The following is a 26,155-nucleotide window of genomic DNA, read 5'->3' as shown; positions in this document are numbered from 1 at the left end:
CAATTGTTCATTAATCTGGGGTACCTTGGTGGGGAAGGGATTGAGAGATTAAAGCCCCTTCAAGCCACTTCTTGACATTCACAGGGACTTAAAAAGTGTTTCCCAACCATCTCATCCATGTGCCCTGCATCAAGAAGGAGAAAGAGGCTACTCACACATTTATCTTACTTCAAGGTCCACCAAGCTTCCTCCCCTTGGTTATACCCTATCCTAAGTCACGGTTCTAATCCTACTTACAGTGCCACAGTGTCCAAGCGCTTCATCTGCACTTAAAACATGGATTCAAATATAGGAAGAGGCCACGATGCACTCAGAAAGGATAGTATCCTCAGAAGGCACATCCAGTTTATAAGTGCTGTAACACTAGAGTGTGACAGGAAGCAGCACTACCTACACTGCCAAAGGGCCATTCTTCTGCACCCCATCCATAGCTTTCCTTCTATTCCTCTACATTAGAAATACAATATAAGAGCTCCTATCAGCCTTGAGAAACCTATAACATTAACATGAATCTCTCAGTGTCAGCCATCATTCTTATAATGTTCTAAATATTTATTTTATTCACACTGTAATAAAATACCCGCTCCTTCCAAAGCCTGTTCTCCTACCCTACCTAAATGTGGCCATTTTCATTCGATGCCCCCCAAAACTGCAAAAAAAGAGAAAACACTCAGTTCATTCATTTTAGATCCATCTTATTGTTCTCTGTAAAGATCCTGACATTGATCACTTACTCAAAATATGTCACTTGTTCTTATCTATACTTTGCTTGCTACTGCTAGTGTTATCAAAAAAAGGGCAAAATTATTATTTCTATTTTGTAGAGAGAAATAAGAGCAGCCTTGGGAAACTTAAAAGAGAATTTTGATGCTGTATCTTGTTCACTTTGTTTCTTGCCTCCAGTAAAATCATTACAATCCAAAAGTGATACAGCTTAAGGTATCCAGAAAGCTGTGCAGCAAACACAAACAGCTGTGTATAGGTTTGTATTCATCCACGATACTCCCATTCCTTAAGCAAAGTGTCATAATAGCAGCAAATCTGTCTGCCAACACAAAAGGGTATTATTAGGCCTCAACTGTCCTGCTTTCCTGGACTTACGAAATTGTATTTTTTTATTTTATCTATTTTCAGTTTTTCAGTAAGAAATAATTTCCATAGATTTCCATATGAATTAAAATCTCCCCCTTACCTTCCATAATCCAAACTCCATATATCAAGAGCCAATATAAAGCATTAAATGCTGAAAATAAAAGGAGAAAAATCTGCAACCATTTAGAAATGGCATACAAAAATTAAGAAGCCTGTATAATGTGGTGTCTATAGTAACTTATGATTGTTTCATTCATTTATTTATACCTCTTTCTACTTAAGAAGGTGTTTTTAAATCCCCCATAGCACCTACACAGTACTCTGAACATATTGGTATTCACCATCTGAGCTAAATTGAATTTAGCAAGCAAAAAGGACTGTCCACAATCTATACTATGAAGTACACTCATTAAACTTGGTCTGCTTTAAATTTTGGCAAACTCTAAGGGGCTAAGAGCACCACATAAAAACATCAACCTCATTATCTCATACCTTATACCTTATTACATTACTTTCCACTGTCCTAAACATAATAAAGCTGTCTTTGGAAGAATTTAAAGGATTCTCAGACTCCTGGCAAATCTCTTCTTCAAAATGAAAAAGCCACAAACTTCTCAGCTAACTTTTAAGCAGATTCACCAATCAAATTTCTGAAAGGTGAAAAGCATTTATCAACAATTTTCCCATTTCTGTCCCTTCTAAGTAATCTGGGCTCCTCAGAGTTGTCTTCTCCACTCAACTAATTATTGGAATTTCATTTTCCATATTATTTAATTGTTAATAGTATCTTTCATTACATTTTATATAGTCTTTCCAAATCATAGTACAGTTGTTTTGAGGTATTTAGGATACACTGATTGCTATTTTCAGCTCAAACTCAAGAAGCCAGAAGCTCTAGCTACCAGTTCTAATTATCTATCACTGTATAACAAACTATCCCAAAACTTAACAGTTTAAAATAACAGCCATTGTATTACAGCTCTCAATTCTGATGGTCAGGTATTCAGAAAGGGTGCTGCTGGCAATGTCTCTACTCCATGTGGCACCAAATGAAGTCACCAGAGGTACTGAGCTGGTGAACAGATTAATCTGGAGGTTCTTAGATGGCTCTGCTCTCATGTATGGCACCGTGACAGGGATGCTTAAAAGGCTGGGCTCAGGTGGGAATGTCAACATGCCTCTCCAGCATGGCAATTACTAGTTACTGCCAGGTTTCAGAACAGATTCTCCATCAAGTCTACTTAGAATTCTTAATGGCATCCCAGAGCTCCTGAAGACTGTGTACCAGAGACAGAAAGTGGAAGCCCCCAGTTTCTTAAAGCCTGTACCCAGACACTGGTACTCTGTCACTGCTGCCATCCATACTCTATTTGCCAAAACCCACTCACATCAAGAGGTGGGCAGGGGAAGAATGAGGAGTTAGTATTTAAAGGGTAATGAGTTTCAGCTGGAGAAGATGAAAAAGTTCTGGAGATGAATGGGGATGGTTGCACAACAATGTGAATACACTTAATGACAAAGAACTGTACACTTAAAAATAGTTTAAAATGTAAAGATTATGTATATTTAACCATAATTTTTTAAAGCTACTGAGATTCAAGGGGTGGTGACATAGATCCCACTTCTCAATGAGAAAATATCAAATAATTTGAGGCCATTTTTAATCCACTGTACCAGCTAAGATGATCTCCTGGGAGGCAAAACATTTATTTCCTATTAGCATATATACTCCCTCCTAAATATCTTTATTATTTATATAATACTTATAGTGAAAATAATTAATTTTTACTGTACTGCCAATACAGAATATGAAATATTGGCATATTCATTCTTAAAGACCATAAATTATTTTCATTCTTAACACTTCAAAAATAATATGCAATTTTAGCTACATTAACTTCAATTACATTGAATAACTGTTAAACCCACATGAAAGCTTCAAGATGAAATAAAACTGAAAGATGTACTTGCAAATTCCAGACCACCTAGTTTGCAGCTGTGCTAGGTGTTAAAAACATCTCTCCTGTTCTGACACCCAGCATACACCAGCAACCTTCTTGAAGGATTTTGAACTTTAGAGATACACCACACACTGAATCTGGGAAATCTCACCAACCTGCAAATTTTTCTATTTTTTACTGTTCTCCAGCATCTACCAAATCAAGATTTTTATTTTCCCACTCAAAGTCTGCCTAATAAATTTTAATACAAGAGCAATCTGATGTCCATAAGTACACAATTAGCCAAAAGTGATTTGAATCTTGAGTTTGTGGACCCAGTTTGCTAACTGCACACTATTGCTTGATCTACCCATTTTATGAAGCTGTTAGCACAAACTAAGAACAAACAACTGAGAATTTAAACTTTACAATAAACATTCAAAAGGCCAAACAGTTTCTAGGGTGCTTAAGTAATGTATCTTCTGGGGAACAACTGTAGGTAGCTACTTCATTTATTTACTCCTTTGTTCAACCAACATACATTAAGTACCTCCTATAGGCTAGACATTGTGTTAGGTAATAAACACCATATTCAGGGTCCTTTGCTTTCAGGAGACTTAGAGCCCATTTCAAGACAGGCGGGTGATAACCCTCAAGTACAAGTGCTCTGACAGAGGAAGCCGGGTGCGGTGGCTCATGCCTGTAACCCCAGCACTTTGGGAGGCCAAGGCGGGTGGATCACGAGGTCAGGAATCCGATACCAGCTTCACCAACATGGTGAAACCCCATCTCTACTAAAAATACAAACATTAGCCAGGAGTGGTGGCAGGCACCTGTAATCCTAGCTACTCAGGAGGCTGAGGGAGGAGAATCTCTTGAACATACAGAAGGCAGAGGTTTCAGTGAGCCGAGATCGCACCACTGCACTCCAGCCTGGGCAACAAGAGCGAAACTGTCTCAAAAAAAAAAAAAAAAGCCACAGAGGATGGGTTTCTACGCTAAACTTAAGGAAATGTCCCAGAAAGAAAACTGTTTAAGCTGATACATGACAGATGAGTCAGAATTAGACGAAATGTAGGGAAGAGTATCCAAAGTCAAGGGGAAAAAACATGTTTTCACAACTAAAGGAAGTTCACATGGCTGGTCCATAGAGTTTACAGATTAGTGGTAAGAGATGAGGCTAGGGAGGTAAACAGGGATGAGAGCTTGAGGTAACTTATTACAAATTTTGAAGATTAACATTATATTAATAGGAAATTGCTGAAGAGTTGGGGAGGGGCTGTAGCATAGACATCTGTAAATATCTGCACTCTTGCTTCAGGGTAAAGAATGGATTGGATAGGCCGGCACGGTGGCTCACTCCTGTAATCCCAGCACTTTGGGAGGCCAATGTGGGGGGATCACAAAGTCAGGAGTTCAAGACCAGCTTGGCCATCATGGTGAAACCCTGTCTCTACTAAAGCTACAAAAATGAGCTGGGCATGGTGGTGTGCGCCTGTAGTCCCAGCTACTTGGGAGGCTGAGGCAGGAGAATCACTTGAACCCAGGAGGCCGAGGTTGCAGTGAGCTGAGATTGCACCACTACACTCCAGCCTGGGCAACAGAGCAAGACTCCGTGTCAAAAAAAAAAAAAAAAAAAAGAATGGATTGGATAAGAAATCATGGTAGCCCAAGCTAGAATAATGACAATGAAACTGAAAGGAGATGGACAGATTCTAGAGACATTTAGGCATAGAAGTGGCAAACAGACTATTAATCTTAGCCAGGATAAAATCAACAGCACTCTATTATTCCTTATCCTATCACAAATCTAATCCTCTAAAAGCCAAAAAATAACTAAATTTAAAGGAACCTCCCCTTTTACCCTTTGAATTCAAATGTAAAAAGTGCTCATGATCAGGTTCTTCCAATAGCTGTCAGTTTAGCAACAATTTACACATATCCCTAACCTCCTCAGACTGCATGAAAAGAAGATTTGGACTCAAATCTGTGCTTATTCATTTTAATAAGACTCTAGTATTTCAAGTTCTATTAGCTTTATACTACTGAAGTTCTTATAACTTATTACTCTACATATATTTGTAGCACAGTTAAAGAACTCAAGTGGGTATTGGGGGATGAAATCCAGTGTTCTCCCTATACATTATCATTTGCAAATCTCATACAAAAGCTAGAATGGTAACAAATAATAATAAATAATAGTTAATATTTGTTGTGTACTTACTATATGCTAGGCACTGTTAATAAGTACTTTAGAAAAAGTACTAACTTATTAAAGCCTCCCAAAGTTATGAGGTAATACTATTATATACTCTATTTTACAGATGACAAAACTAAGTCAGAGAAGAAAAACAACTAGTAAATAGCAGCACCAGTATTCAACTACAGGTGTTACAGCACCAGAGCCTATGCTCTTCACTCACAAGCTATATGACCTCTCTGGTGTATCCCCGCTTAGACAGCACGCTCTCATCCTACTACCCTTGATCTTGATGCAGGTCAAAGCAGGATTCATATGTCTATACCTCAGATGCCCTATCCTAACACCCTAGGTCTCGAATGCAAAACCCCAAACATTTTCTGTTACTGGGCCATTTGTTTCTAACTTGGATTAGAAGTAATGCAGTTTTGGCCAGGCACAGTGGCTCATACCTGCAATCCTAACATTTTGGGAGGCCGAGGCAGGCAGATCACTTGAACCCAGGAGTTTGAGACCAGCCCAGGCAACATGGCAAAACCCATCTCTACAGAAAAAAAAAGTACAAAAATTAGCCACACGTGGTGACACATGCCTGTAGTCCCAGCTACTCAAGAGGCTGAGGTGGAAGGATCACCTGAGCCTGGGGAGGTGAAGCCATGATCGCACCACTGCACTCCAGCCTGGGCAATAGAATGAGACCCCATCTCAAAAAAAAAGAAAAAAGTAATGCAGTTTCTGCCTTGGTTTCCCTAGTCTTTGCCCTAAATCAGCCACAGACACACTTGACCAGTCTATAAATAGTTTTCTGTCTTCACTCTAAGAAAAAGACAAGCCAGGGAGAATACAAAGGCTGGGTGCCTGGATCCAAATTCTTGTTCAGTTATTGAACTGAGATGTTCCCCCTGCTTCCCAGCAGTAACACTGACCCATACCTGTTGTCTGTTTCCTGCCACATCTCTTAGATATGTAAGAGGAAGATTTGGTAACCTATAAAGGGAGCGTGGCATACCTGTCTGTTAAATATTCTTTTTTTTCCTCTTTTTTATTTACTTATTTTTTTTTTTTTTTTTGAGACAGAGTCTCGCTGTTACCCAGGCTGGAGTGCAGTGGCGCAATCTCAGCTTACTGCAACCTCCGCCTCTCGAGTTCAAGTGATTCTCTTGCCTCAGCCTCCCGAGTAGCTGGGATTGCAGGCGCCCGCCACCACATCTAGCTAATTTTTGTATTTTTAGTAGAGACGGGATTTCACCATGCTGTTAAGGCTGGTCTCAAACTCCTGACCTCAAGTGAACTGCCCACCTCAGCCTCCCGAAGTGCTGGGATTACACGTGTGAGCCACCGCGCCCAGCCCGATATGTTCTGACCATTTCTATGCATGGTGTGAATGCACATGGACAAGACTGCCTCTGCTCTTTGTGCTGTCTGACTCACAGCAGGAAGAAAAAAGAGCCAGGAAAATAGTCAAAGACCCAAAGGACCAACAAAGGTATGACTACAGAATCTAATAAGCTCAATAAAAAAGCCAAACAAAGTTCAACTCTTAAACTTTGGGACTACTGAAATTCATAATGACATTGAATACACCAAGTCTTTGATGCACAGCATTTGTGAATCATCTTGCCCTGCGTTACACTGGAAGTACATAGTTAACTACTGGTATTTGTTATTCCTTAAGTTTATGCCTTAATTTGACAAGTTGATTTTAAATAATGAAAGCCATCTTTGAAAGGTCCATTTAGAATTGTGCAGATAATCAGCATCTGCCTCTAATCAAATGGATATGATTAGCAAATTAAACCCTTTAATTAGCATTTTGCATAATTTAGGCAAATTATGCTTCTTAGGTTTAAGAAGGTGAAACGGTGAGTTTATCAGTTAGAATCCCTTTAAACCTTTATTAATTATCTAATTTTACCACATACACAGTAAACATAAAGAAATACAAATTAAGCTCAATTTCATTTGCTGAAACTTAGCACTTCTCAACATTTAGGCTAATTCTGTCATTTGGAGCAAATTAACACAATACTCAGAAGAAAAATACTTAATTTCAGTTTTCTCATTCAACTCCCCACAGGTCAACTTTACCCAAACTAGATTCAAATCGCATTTTTTAAGAAACAGGGAAAGAAGGAAGGAAAGCATGGAAGGAGAAAGAGAAGTAGGGAAGGAAGGAAGGGAAAAATGAGTTTCTTTCCACTTTTGCCATTCAGTACTGCTAAAGCCAAGGTTCATTTCTCTAGGCATTCAATTATATAGTTTTAAAGAAAAGCATTCATAGAAAGGTAAGTAGCTTGTCAACCTTCTTTGTGAAACGAAGAAAGAGAAAGAGTACAAAAAAATAGCAAAGCTGCCATTACAACACACCAAGCTAACTAATTACTTTTCTCTATAGGAATTACATTCTCTCTCACACAGAATGATGGTGACTTTTGAAAAAAGTATTTCTTCTCTTAACCCACCCGAAGCACCCCTATTAGCTAACAAAACAAAAGTAAGCAACTCTGGAATTTGATAAACAAAAGTCAGGTAATAAACAGAAGAGCTTAAGAGATGGTGGAAGAAATATATACCATTTCTAACGTCTATTAAACCCCAGTTTCTGATGAAGACATGGTCTTGGAGACAGCCCCTCTGCTCTAGCAACCTCTCACCAAAAAATAAAAAAATAAAAAAGAGGCAGTGAAATTCCAAAATAGACTTTTCCTAAGACTACCGATAGTAATCTACTAAAAAGTTCAAATAAATCATCTCTTTTCCCTGCTATAAATACCACCAAAACCGTAGATCTTCTTTATGTATGTGTGCATGTGCACACACCTGTCTCAAGAGGAGTGGTAAATAAAAAGAAAAATAATCAGGCCAAGGTTATTTTAAACAGGAATAAGAAAATGAATTCTAATCCATTTTAAGTGGTATACAGCAAACTAAATGAAAATCAGGAGAGACAGAATTTTAAAAGTAAGTTATCCTTTCTAAACACAAATTGCAATCTATTTGTATGCAGATCCTATTACATCCCTGAACAACCTCTACCCAGAGAAACCAAACAATAGCTCTGATGTACACTAATCAACCAAACAGTTCCAAAATTGTCTCTTTAAGTACTTACTCAAGTGGTGATATTGTAAATATAATTTACAGTGCTTTGTATCTACAGGAACTCAGAAAATATTAGCCAGTTCACTGACCGGAAAAATCCAAAGACTGCTTTTTTTTTTTTTTTTTTTTTGGGATTTCACCATGGGTCTCAATTAGACAAGGAATTGACAGTCTAATTTAAAGCAATTACAGCTTTGAAGGGATATGACACATATCCAACTGAAGATGCTAATTTCTCATTACCTTTAAAATATCAATAGAACTAAAATACAAATGTAAAAAAAAATTAAAATTCTAGCTATATTTGTGCTCTGCATTTAGTTTTATTCATTTACTATTTAACAAATCCCTCTAACCATTTACTATTAAAGCAGAAGGAAGAAACATACAAACACCTGAAAAGCATGAACTTCAATTCATGACACTATTTTTTTTCCCCTTCTACACTGAATGGACTGGTATATATATTATAGTACAGTGCTTTGGCTCCCCCAAATGACACTTCTACAGCACAGTAATCCTGTGTCAGAGAAAAAAAAACTAAAAAACGGTGCCAGATACAACTGGGTTCCTTGCAGCCCATTTTCATTGGAAGAAATGTGTCAAATTCAAGATTCAGTGTGAGTATCATCACCCTTCATTTACCCCACTCTAATCAAAGAAAAACATATATTCAACCAAGGGTAAAGTCTACATCTTAGAGGATGTCAAGAAAAGTGGGCACTTTAATAGGCCGGGCGTGGTGGCTCACACCTGTAATCCCAGCTCTTTGGGAGGCCGAAGCAGATGGATCACGAGCTCAGGAGTTTGAGACCAGCCTGGCCAACATGGTGAAACCCCATCTCTACTAAAAATACAAAAGCTAGCCAGGCATGGTGGGGAACACCTGTAATCCCAGCTACTTAAGAGGCTGAGGGAGGAGAATTGCTTAAACCTGGGAGGCGGAGGATGCCGTGAGCCGAGATCACGCCATTGCACTCCAGCCTGGGCAACAGAGCGAGACTCTGGCTCAAAAAAAGAAAAGAAAAGTGAACACTTTTAAATAAAAATACTCAAACGTGAATTACATATTTATCACAAAAAATTAGTTCCAAGATTACAACTAACCACACCTACAAAAACCAAACAGTTTTAACTTGAGAAATAAAAATATCACTGCTAATAAGATCACTTGTTTAATTTTAAACCTTCAATAAACAATAAGATAGCTAACCTTTAATGAGTATTTACTATATGCCTGCCAAGCTCTATGCAATTTACATAGATGATTCCATTCAATTTCACAACAATTCTATTAAGGAGATACTATAATTTTCCTCATTTTATAGTAGAAGAAAATGAGGCATTGAAAGGGTCAGTAACTTACACGGGGTCATGAAAAATCTACTATAAGATTAATTTTCCCAGATCTTATTCATCCTCTCTCCCTTAGCAAGCTTTGTTTTCACAGTTGCAAATACTATTTTCTGTGATATTGTGATTATATACTTTCAACAACGATCTCCTGAACTCAACCTAACATTTTGAACTGCCCACTGTCTATCTCTACTGGCCCATAGCACTCACAAGCAATATCTTCACATCAAATATACTATCCTAACCCAAAAACATACTCCTTTTTTTTTATGTTCACTATCATTACTAACATTACACTACTCTTGTCCTCTATACCAGATGGCTTGGAGTCATCTTCACTGCACATTCCATTAGCCATCAAGTCTTTAGGCTATTTCCATAATGTCTACCACATCTGCCCACTTCTTTCCATTCTCACAGCTACTAATATAGTTCACATCCTCATTCAGTCCTTCATTTGGTCACTCACTATTTGCTCAACAAATAATTATCTTTATCATTAACCTGAACACTGGCAATATCCTTCTAAGAGGTCTCTACCATAAGTCTCAACATTCAACAGGTTGAACATCCAAACCTGAAAATACAGAATCCAAAGTGCTCCAAAATCTAAAACTTTTTGAGCATCAACATGACACTCAGGTTAAATGCTCACTGGAGCATTTCAGATTTTCAGATGCTCAACCAGTAAGTGTATAAGATAAACTTTCCAAAATCTGAAAAAAAATAGAAATCCAAAACACATCTGATCCCAAGCATTTCAGATAAGGGATACTCAGCCTATAATTAATTACTTGGTGACCTTATGTCTCAACTTGGGTCTCAATTCCCCAATCCTTTATTTACTCAGCTGTTGCAGTTCTCTTCATCATACTAGATTATAACATGTCACCCTGATCCTCAAAAACCTTCCACAATTCCTTCCTGCCCTCCTATCTTGCTAGTCTCATCTTCCACTCTTTCCCATGACAAACTGCTTTTTAGTAAAAATGTAAAACCAGAATCAAGATTAATGTGGAAAATACATGAGCACATTTCCTTGAAATAAAAAAAGGAGATGGTATCATTAAAATAATGTTAAGTAAACAGAATATATGACATCTAGGAAACGTCCACAAAAGTAAAGGTTATACTGTGGTTAGAAAAAATGAGATGATGGGCCTATGTCTGTGTTCAAGCTGGAAAGGGAAGAAAGAACCACGCGGCACTGAAGTACTATTACACTAAGGCTGCTGTTGCTGGAAAAAAGAAGGAACTGAAGCTCATCTATCACCAGCTGGTCCTCAGAACAGAGCTCTAGCAGCACTTAGCCTTCTCAAAGAAGCAAGGGAAAGAGATCACCCCGACCTACTCATCTCATCCCAAACCACCCCTCCTACGCCTCCCCTGAGGTTTATTTATCTTTGAGGCTTGCAGATTGACAAGTTAAATTTCAGCGGTCCTTTAATCCAAAGGCAAAGTTCTCTCAGTGATTTATGATATGTGAGATTTCTCTATGGTTTTCTTTACACTAACATCATCAAAATGTAAATAAATAAAATTAATTTTGAAAATTAGAATTATTTTTATGATTAGAATTCCTCAAGACTGGCTATTTTAAATCATAGTCATAAATGGATGATTTCTAGGATTCTATACAAAAGTGATCCAAAGACCAGAAACCTCACTATATCAACAGTACAAGCTCAGAAAAAAAGGCACCTTCACTACATGTTCTATGAAGAACTCTCCAAGGGAAATAGAAAGAACTGAATATCCCCACCAAAAAATCTGTAAACAGACAATCAGTCTTAATCCTTCCTATCTGAGAGGTTAGCTTGCCCTGTTCCACAGGGATTCTGGGAAGCTCTGCATTCACAAGAAATGAAGAGCTTTGAACTCTGTATATGAAGGGGTCCAAGAAGAAGTTATTATTATTATTTTTGCTTTGGGCTCTTTCCTTCATCTGCTTTGCTAATAAGTTCTTAAGGGTACTGAAAGTAAGTCATATTGAAGGTTTAAGAAGATTTTTTTTGTTTTTACAAAAAATAGGAAAATATCCAGATATAACTTGAGTTATGAAAACAATGTGACTGCAGTGAAAGCTACTTTAGTATTAGCAAGGCAAACAATATCTTTTTTTAAAAAGAGAAAAGTGTTAAAAAAGAAAAGTAGAACTGTAAGCCAAAACTACTTTAAATCTTCCAAAAAGACAAAAAAAATAAGAAATATGCTACAGTCAGGGCTAATAATACTACACGCAAGAATGTAACAGAATCATACCTGAGAATCTGCAAAGCAAAGAAACACACCTTGGGTGGAACTAGTGGTTAACAACCTGATCAGACCCAATGCTTCTTTAAATATTTTAATACTTAAAATATGTTGCAATACTTGTATTACTATCCAAAAATAAAATTCACAATTTTTTAATATCAATAGAATTCCATAACTAAATATATATAAAATATTTAAAAATTTAAAACAAAAAAATAGTGGCATACATAATTGATCAGACACAGTGCCCTAGACTACATGATCAAGTAGTTAGATACCATACCCATCAGCAAAAACATCGGGAATAACCCACCTACCAATGCAAACTGACACGGTGTGTGCATTGGTGTTTCAAATACCACATCAGTGATGTTCTTTGTCAAAAAAGCGAACTCAGAAACACTCAGAACGAAACAAAGTATTATCTTCCTCAACTCATAGGCTAGTTGGAGTCCAGGAACAATGAGGGTATACCAAAAATATGGGGGAAAAATATTTTGTGTTGATTTATAGAACAGTGTTTAGTTGTAGATTCAGATAATTAGAAACAGTTTAGTTTTTTGGTTTCTGGGTTTCTGTTGTTGTTCACATGAATATAAAAAGTCAAAAAGGAGGCCAGGCATGGTGTCTCACGTCTGTAATCCCAGCACTTTGGAAGGCCGAAGCAGGCAGATCACCAGGTCAAGAGATCAAGACCATCCTGACGAAAATGGTGAAAACCCGTCTCTACTAAAAATACAAAAATTAGCTGGTCGGGGTGGCACACACCTATAGTCCCAGCTACTTGGGAGACTGAGGCAGATAATAGCTTGAACCCGGGAGGCAGAGGTTGCAGTGAGCCGAGATCGCGCCACTGCACTTCAGCTTGGCAACAGAGAGACTCTGTCTCAAAAAAAAAAAAAAAAAAAAAGGGCAGGAAGGATGTGGGAAAATCTGTGGTTGTACAGAACTACTCAGTGCACTGTAAATGCACCAGCATCCCCATCTCCTGTCTACTAAACACCTGTTGGACTTGCCAATCATTTTTACAAACACCAAAAATACCATAAAGATGGCCAAAATATCCAGCAGGGGTGACTATAACCCCTATAGTCCAGAACTACTGGACTGAACCAACAAGCCATCCTTGTGAAAGGCTCAGTTTGAAACAGTAGGCTTTCCTCTATGGCATCTCTCTTGTGAGATAGTAAAAAAAACCAACTCAAGTCCATAACTTTTCTTTTCCTGGCCTATTAAAATAATGACTCCCACTTCAAGTACAAAATCTACTGCCTGATAAAACTTAATTTAAAATTTTAAAAATATATTTTTTACCTACTGCCTGGATTTTGATTTACACTGATCTTTGAATATTATACATGAGTTAATTGTTGAACATGAACTAAAATATACAATGTGATCTGAAAAATGTTTTTAAAAAGATAAACAAAAGGTAGCAGAGAAGAAAAACAAAAAGGGCATAGAAAAACTACGGGCTAGAAAACAAACCCCTCAACGACTAAGTTGGATGAATATAATGTTTTCCCTAGAGATGGCAATATTATACCGAGAAAGCTACCAATGGTATATTTAATATATTTGGTTTCCATTCCTGCCAACAACTGTCAGCTAAAATGAAACATCTCAGTAAAATTATAGTTAATGCTTTAATTTCCGAAACTAATGTAAATCTCTAAACTCACACCTGTGTTTGTATAGCACTTTTGATGGGCCCTGTCACCTTAAATGTCAGCATCTATTCCACTTCATTTCAATAGTTAAGCTGTGAAGAAATCTACTCATATATTTAGTAACATGCTTTGTGACTTATACATCTCTAAATATTTAGAAGACTAATTTTAAGGAAAGTTACTTAACCTGTCTGAGCTTCAGTTTCCTCATGGAGCTGTTGTGAGGATTAAATTACATAAACCTGGCTGGTCACAGTGACTCACACCTGTAATTCCAGCACTATGGGAGGCCAAGTTGCAAGGATCACTTAAGGCCTGAAGTTCAAGACCAGCCTAGGCAACACAGTAAGAACTTATTTCTATAAAAGAAAAAATTAGCCAGGCAGGGTGGCATGCGCCTGTATTCCCAGCTACTTGGGAGGCTGAGGTGGGAGGATCACTTCAGCCCAAGAGTTCAAGGCTGCAGTGAGCTGTGATCACACCACTGCACTCCAGCCTAGGCGACAGAGCAAAACTGTCTCTACCACAGAAGAAGAAGTTAAATTTTTTTACCCATGTGAAGTATTTACCAAAGTGCCTGGCACTTAACAAACACATTACAAATGTTAGCTATTAGTGATAATCTCTCCTCAGTCTCCTTATATCACCAGATAAATCTAAACCTTAATAAGTCCACTACTTATACAGTCATCAATAAATATTCCTCCTTTAGAAAACAAGGACCCCATCCAAGTCTGGAAACAGTCCTCTGGGTTTTCCAATATTCATACAGAAGCCTTATTCCTTGGACCAACTAAAGGGAATTGGAATATATTTGGCTATTAAGCTCCAAGATAACAGAAGGATTCTCCTGGAATGGGGAGAGCACACTTTGACCAGAGATGAACAGGAAACAAAGCCAGACAGGAGGCAGGTATCAATAGCCGAAGTACAGCACAAGGTATTTGAAAGTCATGGAGATAAACAAACAGAAGCAAGCAGAGAATAAATGGAGACAAGTCCAGAATAGGGGTATTAACTGTGCTGTTGTCCTTTGTATGCCTTCAGAGGGGTGGGGAGTAGCAGAATGGATATATTCACAGGGCCTGGACCAAATGGATTTGTTACGCAACTACTTCCTCCTCCCTTTGTAACTCAGATTAAGCCACTCAAAGACTGAGAACACAAAATGATTACCTTTACAACTCCATTTGCCCTCCACATCCCTGGTTCTTATTCTCATCCAAAAGACCTAGGATAAGGCAATCTGACCTAGACTCTGAACTAGACCATGACACAAGACTTCAGCCAAAAAGAATTAACTTTTCAGGGAACTTGGAGGAAAGAGGGAAAGATTATAAAGATTATGGAATTTTTAAAAATGTATACATGGCTGGGCGTGGTGACTCACGCCTGTAATCCCAACACTTTGGGAGGCCGAGGTAGGCGGGTCACAAGGTCAGGAGTTCAAGACCAGCCTGACCAATATAGTGAAACCCCGTCTCTACCAAAAATACAAAAATTAGCCAGGCATGGTGGTGGGCGACTGTAATCCCAGCTACTCGGGAGGCTGGGGCAGGAGAATCATTTGAACCCAGGAGGCGGAGGAGGTTGCAGTGAGCTGAGATCATGCCATTGGACTCCAGCCTGGGCGACAGAGTGAGACTCCGTCTCAAAAAAAAAAAGTATACATTTAAAAGCTCAGTATCTTTTTTCAGAACACCTTCAGAAACCATGAGTAACACTGCCAAAAGACTCTAGTAGAGCGAGAGCAACTCCATCTTGAACAAAGGCTGGATCAAATGAGGCTCGCACTTGATGGGCTGCATTCCCAAGAGGTTAGGCATTCTCAGGCACAGGATGAGACAAAGGGTCAGCAAGACTGGCTATGACAAGACAAAAGGTCCTAAAGACCCTGCTGATAAAACAGGATGCATTAAAGAAGCCAGCCAAAACCCACCAAAACCAAGATGGCCACAAAAGTGACCTCTGGTCATCCTTACTGCTCACTATATGCTAATTATAATCCATTAGCATGCTAAAAGATACTCCCACCAGCACCAGTACAGTTTACAAATGCCATGGCAACATCCAAAAATTACCCTATATAGTCTAAAAAGGGGAGAAACCCAGAGTTCCGGGAATTGTCCATCTCTTCCCTAGAAAACTCAAGAATAATCCACCTCTTGTTTAGCATATGATCAAGAAATAACCTTAAAAATAGCCAACCAGCAGCCCGTAGGGCTACTCTGCCTATGCAGTAGCCATTCTTTTGTTTCTTTACTTTCTTAATAAACTTGCTTTCACTTTACTCTACGGACTCATCCCAAATTCTTTCTTGCACAAGATCCAAGAACCCTCTCTTGGTGTCTGGATCAGAACCCCTTTCTGGAAACTACATTCCATAATGTAAATGGTAAACTACAGAGAATATTTAACACTGAAAATTATATTTAGTGTAATTAATTTCATTCTTTGAGGATATAAATATATATGTATGTACACACACACACACACACACACACACACACACATATATATATATCAGGCATGGTGGCTCACGCCTGTAGACCCAGAACTTTGGGAGGCTGAGGTGGATGAATCACTTGAAGCCAGGAGTTTGAGACCAGCCTGGCCAACATGACAAAACCCCGTCTCTACTAAAAACACAAAAAATACACAAATCAGCTGGGCCTGGTGGCGCATGCCTGCAATTCCAGCTATTAGGGAGGCTGAGGCAAGAGAAACCCTTGAACTCAGGAGGCAAAGGTTGCAGTGAGCCAAGATCACGTCACTGCACTCAAGCTAGGCAATGGAGTGAAACCCTGTCTCAAAAAAAAAAATTAATAAAATTGAAATAGATATATATCATTATAAAACAAATAGGACATAGCTCTGTGTGGGGGAAACTTCAGCTCATTTAAAGACATACTTTTTTTTTCAAGGGCAAAAGTTATAGGCATGGAAAGCCATCAACAATAAGAATACAAAGAGTCCTATATTCAAAAGCTATATGAAAACTTTAAAAAAGAGAAATGACTTTCACAAGTCATTTTGGAAATTTCTGCATATGATAATTTTAGCCTTTAAGGGTAATTCAGCTTGAAGTTTCACATTTAGCCATAGCATCTCTAGGCTTAAACCATATTATCATGAGCAGAATCTAATTTTGTAGGTTGATTAGAAAAACCCAAATTCTGTGAACTCTAAAATATTGTCACTAAGACCATCTGCCATGGTGTATTTTTACAACTATATGCATAAATGGTTAGGCCTCAACTAACTAGAAAACTTAATAAACTTTTCTCCATTCTCCAAATATAAAATGTATCAATATTTTACTGTAACTGCCCAATAAATATACATAAAATAATACCAGGTTGGCTTCCATAATAATTTGATGCCAAAAACCACTATGAGAACAAAAGTATTATACTTGTAGTGTTTACTTTTAAAAAGGAAGCCCTGTGTTAATGCCTTCATTTAAATCATTTTGAAAGGTATTCAATTGTAACAGAAATACACAGTGCTCTTTCTAAATCATAAACTTCCCTAGAAACAGAACAAATAAAAGTTTGCAAGGCAGCATAATCCCTCAAATCTAGCTCAATAGAAAAGCTCATTTCATATATAACATATACCTATTATCTAATATTTAACCTTGAAAAAAAATAATTACTCAATTTTGCTATACTCATCTTAAAGATGTCTAGTGTTTATGAAACAGAATTGAGATAAATCTTTTGAATTCAGTTAGTATTTTCTCTAGACATTAAACATTCACTCAACACTCAGAGAGTACCCTGCCTGGGACTGTCAATCTTGCCTACTTCACAGCCTTGGAACATAAAACAATTTATTTCTCTATTCAGAAGTTATGTTTGACACTTGACAAAGACTCTCTCCTTGACCTAACTCTTGTCAAGCTCCTGAAACCTCTTCTTGATAAGGCCTGCTAATTCAGTTTCAGTGAGAATCCTGCTAAGTAAGTTTAGGGAAAATCCCCCACCCTTCGTCTGACCATCTTTAATATCTTATGATCCTGGTCTGCCTTCAGCAAAATTCCCTAGGTCACTTTACTACCTCTTAATAATTTTCCATCCACCCTGACCCCTGCTCCAAATCCCCACCTATCCTATCATATTCCAACTTCAGCTTCTCTCTCTCCCCTACTACAAAAACCTATTATAGTAGCCCCTTTGAATAAAGTCTTCCTTACTATCCTTAACAAATGACATGAATAATTTTTTTTCTTTAACACTCTTCATCTGATTATTAATCCCGTTCCTCCTAATTCCTTTTACGTAATTTCCACTAAGAGTGTTTGAGAGTGTGTGTTTTACCATCCCACTTCACTCTTCTTCAGGCTCCATTTTCACTCCTGTCATAGTCAACGGCTTGCCAGAAGCCCTGTGAAAAGCTTCCAGGCTTATCAAACACATGTGTTCTCTAGCCTGTTCTACTGTTACATCTGTGTGTCCTGTCTCAGCTGTTCCACCAGACTCCTTATTGGCTGTATCAAAGTTCATTCTGTGTCAAAAGATATAAAAAGGTACACACAGCTCTCTATTTTGCAGGCATCACACAAAAATTGCTTTGCAACTTGTTAATAGGCTTATAATAACTTGAGACCCAAGAGGGTAGGTATAAAGAGAGTCATGTATATCAATGCATGGGATGTTCATATTTTACATAATAGAAATGGAGTAGGTCATGATAATGAATACACATTCGAAACGAACTATGACAACCCAAACTATACCAATAAACAATAAAAACAACACAGTAAGGGCCAAAATGATCAAAAAACTATGACTATTTAAGGCCAACTTGCAGTATCTCAGAAATCAAGACAGAATACCAAAAGTATTTTAAAATTCAATACACCTAAAACTATTAAATCAACGTAAACTCAATGTTCCAATGTTAACTGGAGAAAAGCCTCCAAAGGCTCCTAATAAATTCATAATTGACATTTTCAATAACAAATGACAAATTAAACTTGAATTCATCCTCACTGAAAAGTAATTACCAACCAAGAATGACATGAAATAATTTCTAAGATAAAAGAAATTAAGGCTTTAAACTAAAAGGGATGAGAAACAAATTTTAGATGTCAGGCTCAGGATAAGAAAAACTACTTTTAAATAAACAGAAGTAATTCAAAGTTTTACGTGTACTTGTTTTTAGTGAGGCAACGAGGTTACCAACTTCACTTGCCTTCACCCAAAAGCCCTCACTTCCCTGAACATAAATAGCAACTGAACACTAGGTCTTTTTAATATGAGGTAGAGTCATCATTTGTGACACACAGAATATTCTTCCACATCTTTAAGAATGCTCATTTTCACTGTCCCTGCCATTCTGTAGTACTCTAATGAAAAGCATCCTACCATTAGACCCACTGGTATTGCAAAGCCAATAAGAAATATTTCTTGACTGTCTTAAGGAGGTTTTAAAAAGCATCCAAGTAAATTAGAAGCTGCTGTCAGACTCTAGACTGCGAGAGCACAGAAACCCTTTGTCTGTAAGGCTGACAGCTGCCAAAGCTGACCTTTCCCTAACTGGCCAACTGAAGAAACATTAATAGAATCTGTTTAACCTTACCCATTCACCTTTAATGTGACCAAGGTTAAGTCAATCAACTCAGCAGTGGGAGATGCAAAATAGTCACCATGGACAGCAATATTTACTCATTGAAACGCCTTAGAAATTTCAGATTTAAAATCCAATTTATTTACATATAGGTCAAAGAATGAAAAATATCAGTTTCCTTTTTGAACACTTCATATTAAGGCTTCCTATACTACATGATAAGGATTCAGAATCTACTATCCACCAGAAACCCAGTATAGACTAAAAAAGTATCAATGCACTGCCCAAGTCAGTAATAGAACACCAGAAATTAATGATCCCTTTTTATGTACATATTTCTCCATCGAAGGACACAATACAACTCAGGTATAACACTGCATCTCCTCCTAAGGTAAAAATATATTTATTTTACAGAAGTAGATCAACATAAAAGCAACTGCAGCATTGAGGAAACCGAAAAGACAGAGAAATGCACACAAACACAGCACACAAGCACTTTAAGTCCAGGTTGACTCAAAGACATGTGTGCCAACAATCCAGCTTCTGTGACAAACAAGATGGCCCCGTGGCTGCCCACTCCCTGCTGTTTCCTTCCACCTCAACTTATGCAGCAGCACCTGACTTAGGCAGCAGGTCACACATCAGACACCACCTCATGAAACAAATGCTAGTAACTTTTCCCCAAACCTTGCTTTGTCATGAGTCTAAAAGCATCACTGATACCTGACTAGCTATAGCAGTTTTCAAATGCAAACTAAATATTCTAACCAAAGTGATGAAAGTGTGCATGTTCCTATTAATGAAATGATAAAAATTGGGAAAGCCTACAATGAAATGGAAAGAGCTTACAGAGACCTGGGGACAAGCTAATCAACAGCACCTGAATTCAAGTGCCTTAATTACCAGTATCAGATGCCATGGGAGAGTCCATGAAAAAGATGGGAAAAGGTCTCTGCCTGGAAAGTGATTGCAGACTATCACGGGAATGGTTATTCTGTCAAGCCCTCTGCAATACTTTGTTACTCTATCTTCCATGAATCCCCATCAGCCACAAATACTTGATCAAGCTTTACATTCTATGGTTTATATTTCAAAAACATAAGGCATAATGTTTTCTATACTCTATACTAACCTCCACCGACGTTCTAATAAACACCCTAGGAGGACTACCTCTCCATCCTATCCCCCCACTGAGAATCACTGAACTAGAAAAATCAAAATAGTCACACAAGAAGGCAAAGTTACTGCTCCCTTTAGAAGCTGTATAACACCACACTGGGATGTATACATACGGATATTAATCATCACTTCAGCCAATCTTTCAAGTTTATCCAAATTTATGCATCTTACTTTAATGCACAGGTTCATTATAATGCACCTCAAATGATTAGCAAAGTGAAACAGGATATAAATTTATAAATAAATAAAATATGGCAAACAGACTAGAAGCAACTAGAGTAATTTTAAACACCAACACTCTTGTTAAAACTGCATACATTTCCCATAAATTCCTGTTTCCTAAAACAAAAAGACTCAACACCATTTTTTTAAATTATTATTATACTTTAAGTTTTAGGGTACATGTGCACAATGTGCAGGTTTGTTACATATGTATACATGTGCCATGCTGGTGTGCTGCACCCACTAACTCGTCATTTAGCATTAGGTATATCTCCTAATGCTATCCCTCACCCCTACCCCCACCCCACAACAGTCCCCAGAGTGTGATGTTCCCCTTGCTGTGTCCATGTGTTCTCATTGTTCAATTCCCACCTATGAGTGAGAATATGTGGTGTTTGGTTTTTTGTTCTTGTGATAGTTTACTGAGAATGATGATTTCCAATTTCATCCATGTCCCTACAAAGGACATGAACTCATCATTTTTTATGGCTGCATAGTATTCCATGGTGTATATGTGCCACATTTACTTAATCCAGTCTATCATTGTTGGACATTTGGGTTGGTTCCAAGTCTTTGCTATTGTGAATAGTGCCGCAATAAACATATGTGTGCATGTGTCTTTATAGCAGCATGATTTATAGTCCTTTGGGTATATACCCAGTAATGGGATGGCTGGGTCAAATGGTACTTCTAGTTCTAGATCCCTGAGGAATCGCCACACTGACTTCCACAATGGTTGAACTAGTTTACAGTCCCACCAACTGTGTAAAAGTGTTCCTATTTCTCCACATCCTCTCCAGCACCTGTTGTTTCCTGATTTTTTAATGACTGCCATTCTAACTGGTGTGAGATGGTATCTCATTGTGGTTTTGATTTGCATTTCTCTGATGGCCAGTGATCATGAGCATTTTTTCATGTGTTTTTTGGCTGCATAAATGTCTTCTTTTGAGAAGTGTCTGTTCATGTCCTTTGCCCACTTTTTGATGGGGTTGTTTTTTTTTCCTCATAAATTTGTTTGAGTTCATTGTAGATTCTGGATATTAGCCCTTTGTCAGATGAGTAGGTTGCGAAAATTTTCTCCCATTTTGTAGGTTGCCTGTTCACTCTGATGGTAGTTTCTTTTGCTGTGCAGAAGCTCTTTAGTTTAATTAGATCCCATTTGTCAATTTTGGCTTTTGTTGCCATTGCTTTTGGTGTTTTAGACATAAAGTCCTTGCCCATGCCTATGTCCTGAGTGGTAAAGCCTAGGTTTTCTTCTAGGGTTTTTATGGTTTTAGGTCTAACGTTTAAGTCTTTAATCTATCTTGAATTGATTTTTGTATAAGGTGTAAGGAAGGGATCCAGTTTCAGCTTTCTGCATATGGCTAGCCAGTTTTCCCAGCACCATTTATTAAATAGGGAATCCTTTCCCCATTGCTTGTTTTTCTCAGGTTTTTCAAAGATCAGATAGTTGTAGATATGCAGCGTTATTTCTGAGGGCTCTGTTCTGTTCCATTGATCTATATCTCTGTTTTGGTACCAGTACCATGCTGTTTTGGTTACTGTAGCCTTGTAGTATAGTTTGAAGTCAGGTAGTGTGCTGCCTCCAGCTTTGTTCTTTTGGCTTAGGATTGACTTGGCGATGCGGGCTCTTTTTTGGTTCCATATGAACTTTAAAGTAGTTTTTTCCAATTCTGTGAAGAAAGTCATTGGCAGCTTGATGGGGATGGCATTGAATCTGTAAATTACCTTGGGCAGTATGGCCGTTTTCACGATATTGATTCTTCCTACCCATGAGCATGGAATGTTCTTCCATTTCTTTGTATCCTCTTTCATTTCCTTGAGCAGTGGTTTGTAGTTCTCCTTGAAGAGGTCCTTCACATCCCTTGTAAGTTGGATTCCTAGGTATTTTATTCTCTTTGAAGCAATTGTGAATGGGAGTTCACTCGTGATTTGGCTCTCTGTTTGTCTGTTGTTGGTGTATAAGAATGCTTGTGATTTTTGTACATTGATTTTGTATCCTGAGACTTTGCTGAAGTTGCTTATCAGCTTAAGAAGATTTTGGGCTGAGACAATGTTGTTTTCTAGATATACAATCATGTCATCTGCAAACAGGGACGATTTGACTTCCTCTTTTCCTAATTGAATACCCTTTATTTCCTTCTCCTGCCTAATTGCCCTGGCCAGAACTTCCAACACTATGTTGAATAGGAGTGGTGAGAGAGGGCATCCCTGTCTTGTGCCAGTTTTCAAAGGGAATGCTTCCCGTTTTTGCCCATTCAGTATGATATTGGCTGTGGGTTTGTCATAGATAGCTCTTATTATTTTGAAATACGTCCCATCAATACCTAATTTATTGAGAGTTTTTAGCATGAAGCGTTGTTGAATTTTGTCAAAGGCCTTTTCTGCATCTATTGAGATAATCATGTGGTTTTTGTCTTTCTGTTTATATGCTGGATTACATTTATTGATTTGCGTATATTGAACGAGCCTTGCATCCCAGGGATGAAGCCCACTTGATCATGGTGGATAAGCTTTTTGATGTGCTGCTGGATTCGGTTTGCCAGTATTTTATTGAGGATTTTTGCATCAATGTTCATCAAGGATATTGGTCTCAAATTCTCTTTTTTGGTTGTGTCTCTGCCCGGCTTTGGTATCAGGATGATGCTGGCCTCATAAAATGAGTTAGGGAGGATTCCCTCTTTTTCTATTCATTGGACTAGTTTCAGAAGGAATGGTACCAGTTCCTCCTTGTACCTCTGGTAGAATTCAGCTGTGAATCCATCTGGTCCTGGACTCTTTTTGGTTGGTAAGCTATTGATTATTACCACAATTTCAGATCCTGTTATTGGTCTATTCAGAGATTCAACTTCTTCCTGGTTTAGTCTTGGGAGAGTGTATGTGTCGAGGAATTTACCCATTTCTTCTAGATTTTCTAGTTTATTTGCATAGAGGTGTTTGTAGTATTCTCTGATGGTAGTTTGTATTTCTGTGGGATCAGTGGTGATATCCCCTTTATCATTTTTTATTGCGTCTATTTGATTCCTCTCTCTTTTTTTCTTTATTAGTCTTGCTAGCGGTCTATCAATTTTGTTGATCCTTTCAAAAAACCAGCTCCTGGATTCATTAATTTTTTGAAGGGATTTTTGTGTCTCTATTTCCTTCAGTTCTGCTCTGATGTTAGTTATTTCTTGCCTTCTGCTACCTTTTAAATTTGTCTGTTCTTGCTTTTCTAATCCTAATTGTGATGTTAGGGTGTCAACTTTGGATCTTTCCTGCTTTCTCTTGTGGGCATTTAGCACTATATATTTCCCTCTACACACTGCTTTGAATGCGTCCCAGAGATTCTGGTATGTTGTGTCTTTGTTCTCGTTGGTTTCAAAGAACATCTTTATTTCTGCCTTCATTTCATTATATACCCAGTAGTCATTCAGGAGCAGGTTGTTCAGTTTCCATGTAGTTGAGTGGTTTTGAGTGAGATTCTTAATCCTGAGTTCTAGTTTGATTGCACTGTGGTCTGAGAGATAGTTTGTTATAATTTCTGTTCTTTTACATTTGCTGAGGAGAGCTTTACTTCCAAGTATGTGGTCAATTTTGGAATAGGTGTGGTGTGGTGCTGAAAAAAATGTATATTCTGTTGATTTGGGGTGGAGAGTTCTGTAGATGTCTATTAGGTCTGCTTGGTGCAGAGCTGAGTTCAATTCCTGGGTATCATTGTTGACTTTCTGTCTTGTTGATCTGTCTAATGTTGACAGTGGGGTGTTAAAATCTCCCATTATTAATGTGTGGGAGTCTAAGTCTCTTTGTAGGTCACTCAGGACTTGCTTTATGAATCTGGGTGCTCCTGTATTGGGTGCATATATATTTAGGATAGTTAGCTCTTCTTATTGAATTGATCCCTTTACCATTATGTAATGGCGTGCTTTGTCTCTTTTGATCTTTGTTGGTTTAAAGTCTGTTTTATCAGAGACTAGGATTGCAACCCCTGCCTTTTTTTGTTTTCCATTTGCTTGGTAGATCTTCCTCCATCCTTTTATTTTGAGGCTATGTGTGTCTCTGCACGTGAGATGGGTTTCCTGAATACAGCACACTGATGGGTCTTGACTCTTTATCCAATTTGCCAGTCTGTGTCTTTTAATTGGAGCATTTAGTCCATTTACATTTAAAGTTAATATTGTTATGTGTGAATTTTATCCTGTCATTGTGATGTTAGCTGGTTATTTTGCTCGTTAGTTGATGCAGTTTCTTCCTAATTTCAATGGTCTTTACGTTTTGGCATGATTTTGCAGTGGCTGGTACCAGTTGTTCCTTTCCATGTTTAGCACTTCCTTCAGGAGCTCTTTTAGGGCAGGCCTGGTGTTGACAAAATCTCTCAGCATTTGCTTGTCTGTAAAGGATTTTATTTCTCCTTCACTTATGAAGCTTAGTTTGGCTGGATATGAAATTCTGGGTTGAAAATTCTTTTCTTTAAGAATGTTGAATATTGGCCCCCACTCTCTTCTGGCTTGGAGAGTTTGTGCCGAGAGATCCACTGTTAGTCTGATGGGCTTCCCTTTGAGGGTAACCCAACCTTTCTCTCTGGCTGCCCTTAACATTGTTTCCTTCATTTCAACTTTGGTGAATCTGACAACTATGTGTCTTGCAGTTGCTCTTCTCGAGGAGTATCTTTGTGGCGTTCTCTGTATTTCCTGAATCTGAATGTTGGCCTGCCTTGCTAGATTGGGGAAGTTCTCCTGGATAATATCCTGCAGAGTGTTTTCCAACTTGGTTCCATTCTCCCCGTCACTTTCAGGTACACCAATCAGACGCAGATTTGGTCTTTTCACATAGTCCCATATTTCTTGGAGGCTTTGCTCATTTCTTTTTATTCTTTTTTCTCTAAACTTCCCTTCTCGCTTCATTTCATTCATTTCATCTTCCATTGCTGATATCTTTTCTTCCAGTTGATCGCATCGGCTCCTGAGGCTTCTGCATTCTTCACGTAGTTCTCGAGCCTTGGTTTTCAGCTCCATCAGCTCCTTTAAGCACTTCTCTGTATTGGTTATTCTAGTTATACATTCTTCTAAATTTTTTTCAAAGTTTTCCACTTCTTTGCCTTTGGTTTGAATGTCCTCCCGTAGCTCGGAGTAATTTGATCATCTGAAGCCTTCTTCTCTCAGCTCGTCAAAGTCATTCTCCGTCCAGCTTTGTTCCGTTGCTGGTGAGGAACTGCGTTCCTTTGGAGGAGGAGAGGCGCTCTGCTTTTCAGAGTTTCCAGTTTTTCTGTTCTGTTTTTTCCCCATCTTTGTGGTTTTATCTACTTTTGGTCTTTGATGATGGTGTACAGATGGGTTTTTGGTGTGTTTGTCCTTTCTGTTTGTTAGTTTTCCTTCTAACAGACAGGACCCTCAGCTGCAGGTCTGTTGGAGTACCTGGCCATGTGAGGTGTCAGTCTGCCCCTGCTGGGGGGTGCCTCCCAGTTAGGCTGCTCGGGGGTCAGGGGTCAGGGACCCACTTGAGGAGGCAGTCTGCCCATTCTCAGATCTCCAGCTGGGTGCTGGGAGAACCACTGCTCTCTTCAAAGCTGTCAGACAGGGACGTTTAAG

General features: G+C 38.3%; 1 protein-coding gene across 6 annotated transcripts in view, besides 1 other annotated feature; it reads right to left on the bottom strand.

Moving 5' to 3' along the window:
* The window catches only part of PRIM2 (DNA primase subunit 2), a 425,311-nt gene that overhangs the window by 285,247 nt on the left and 113,909 nt on the right, over nucleotides 1-26,155 (bottom strand). The gene's annotated exons all lie outside the window — the stretch shown is intronic.
* Nucleotides 14,149-14,649: an enhancer, noted in NCBI's record as "H3K4me1 hESC enhancer chr6:57211753-57212253 (GRCh37/hg19 assembly coordinates)". NCBI's record gives its function as "activates a minimal SCP1, AML or CMV promoter by ChIP-STARR-seq in naive H9 embryonic stem cells {active_cell/tissue: H9 hESC(naive)}" and the evidence as "EXISTENCE:reporter gene assay evidence [ECO:0000049][PMID:30033119]".

Source organism: Homo sapiens, chromosome 6, assembly GCF_000001405.40.
Source record: "Homo sapiens chromosome 6, GRCh38.p14 Primary Assembly".
NCBI classification, from domain to species: Eukaryota; Metazoa; Chordata; class Mammalia; order Primates; family Hominidae; genus Homo; species Homo sapiens.
The sequence above is the reverse complement of the archived record's forward strand: the minus strand, read 5'-3'. Positions and strand labels throughout refer to the sequence as shown.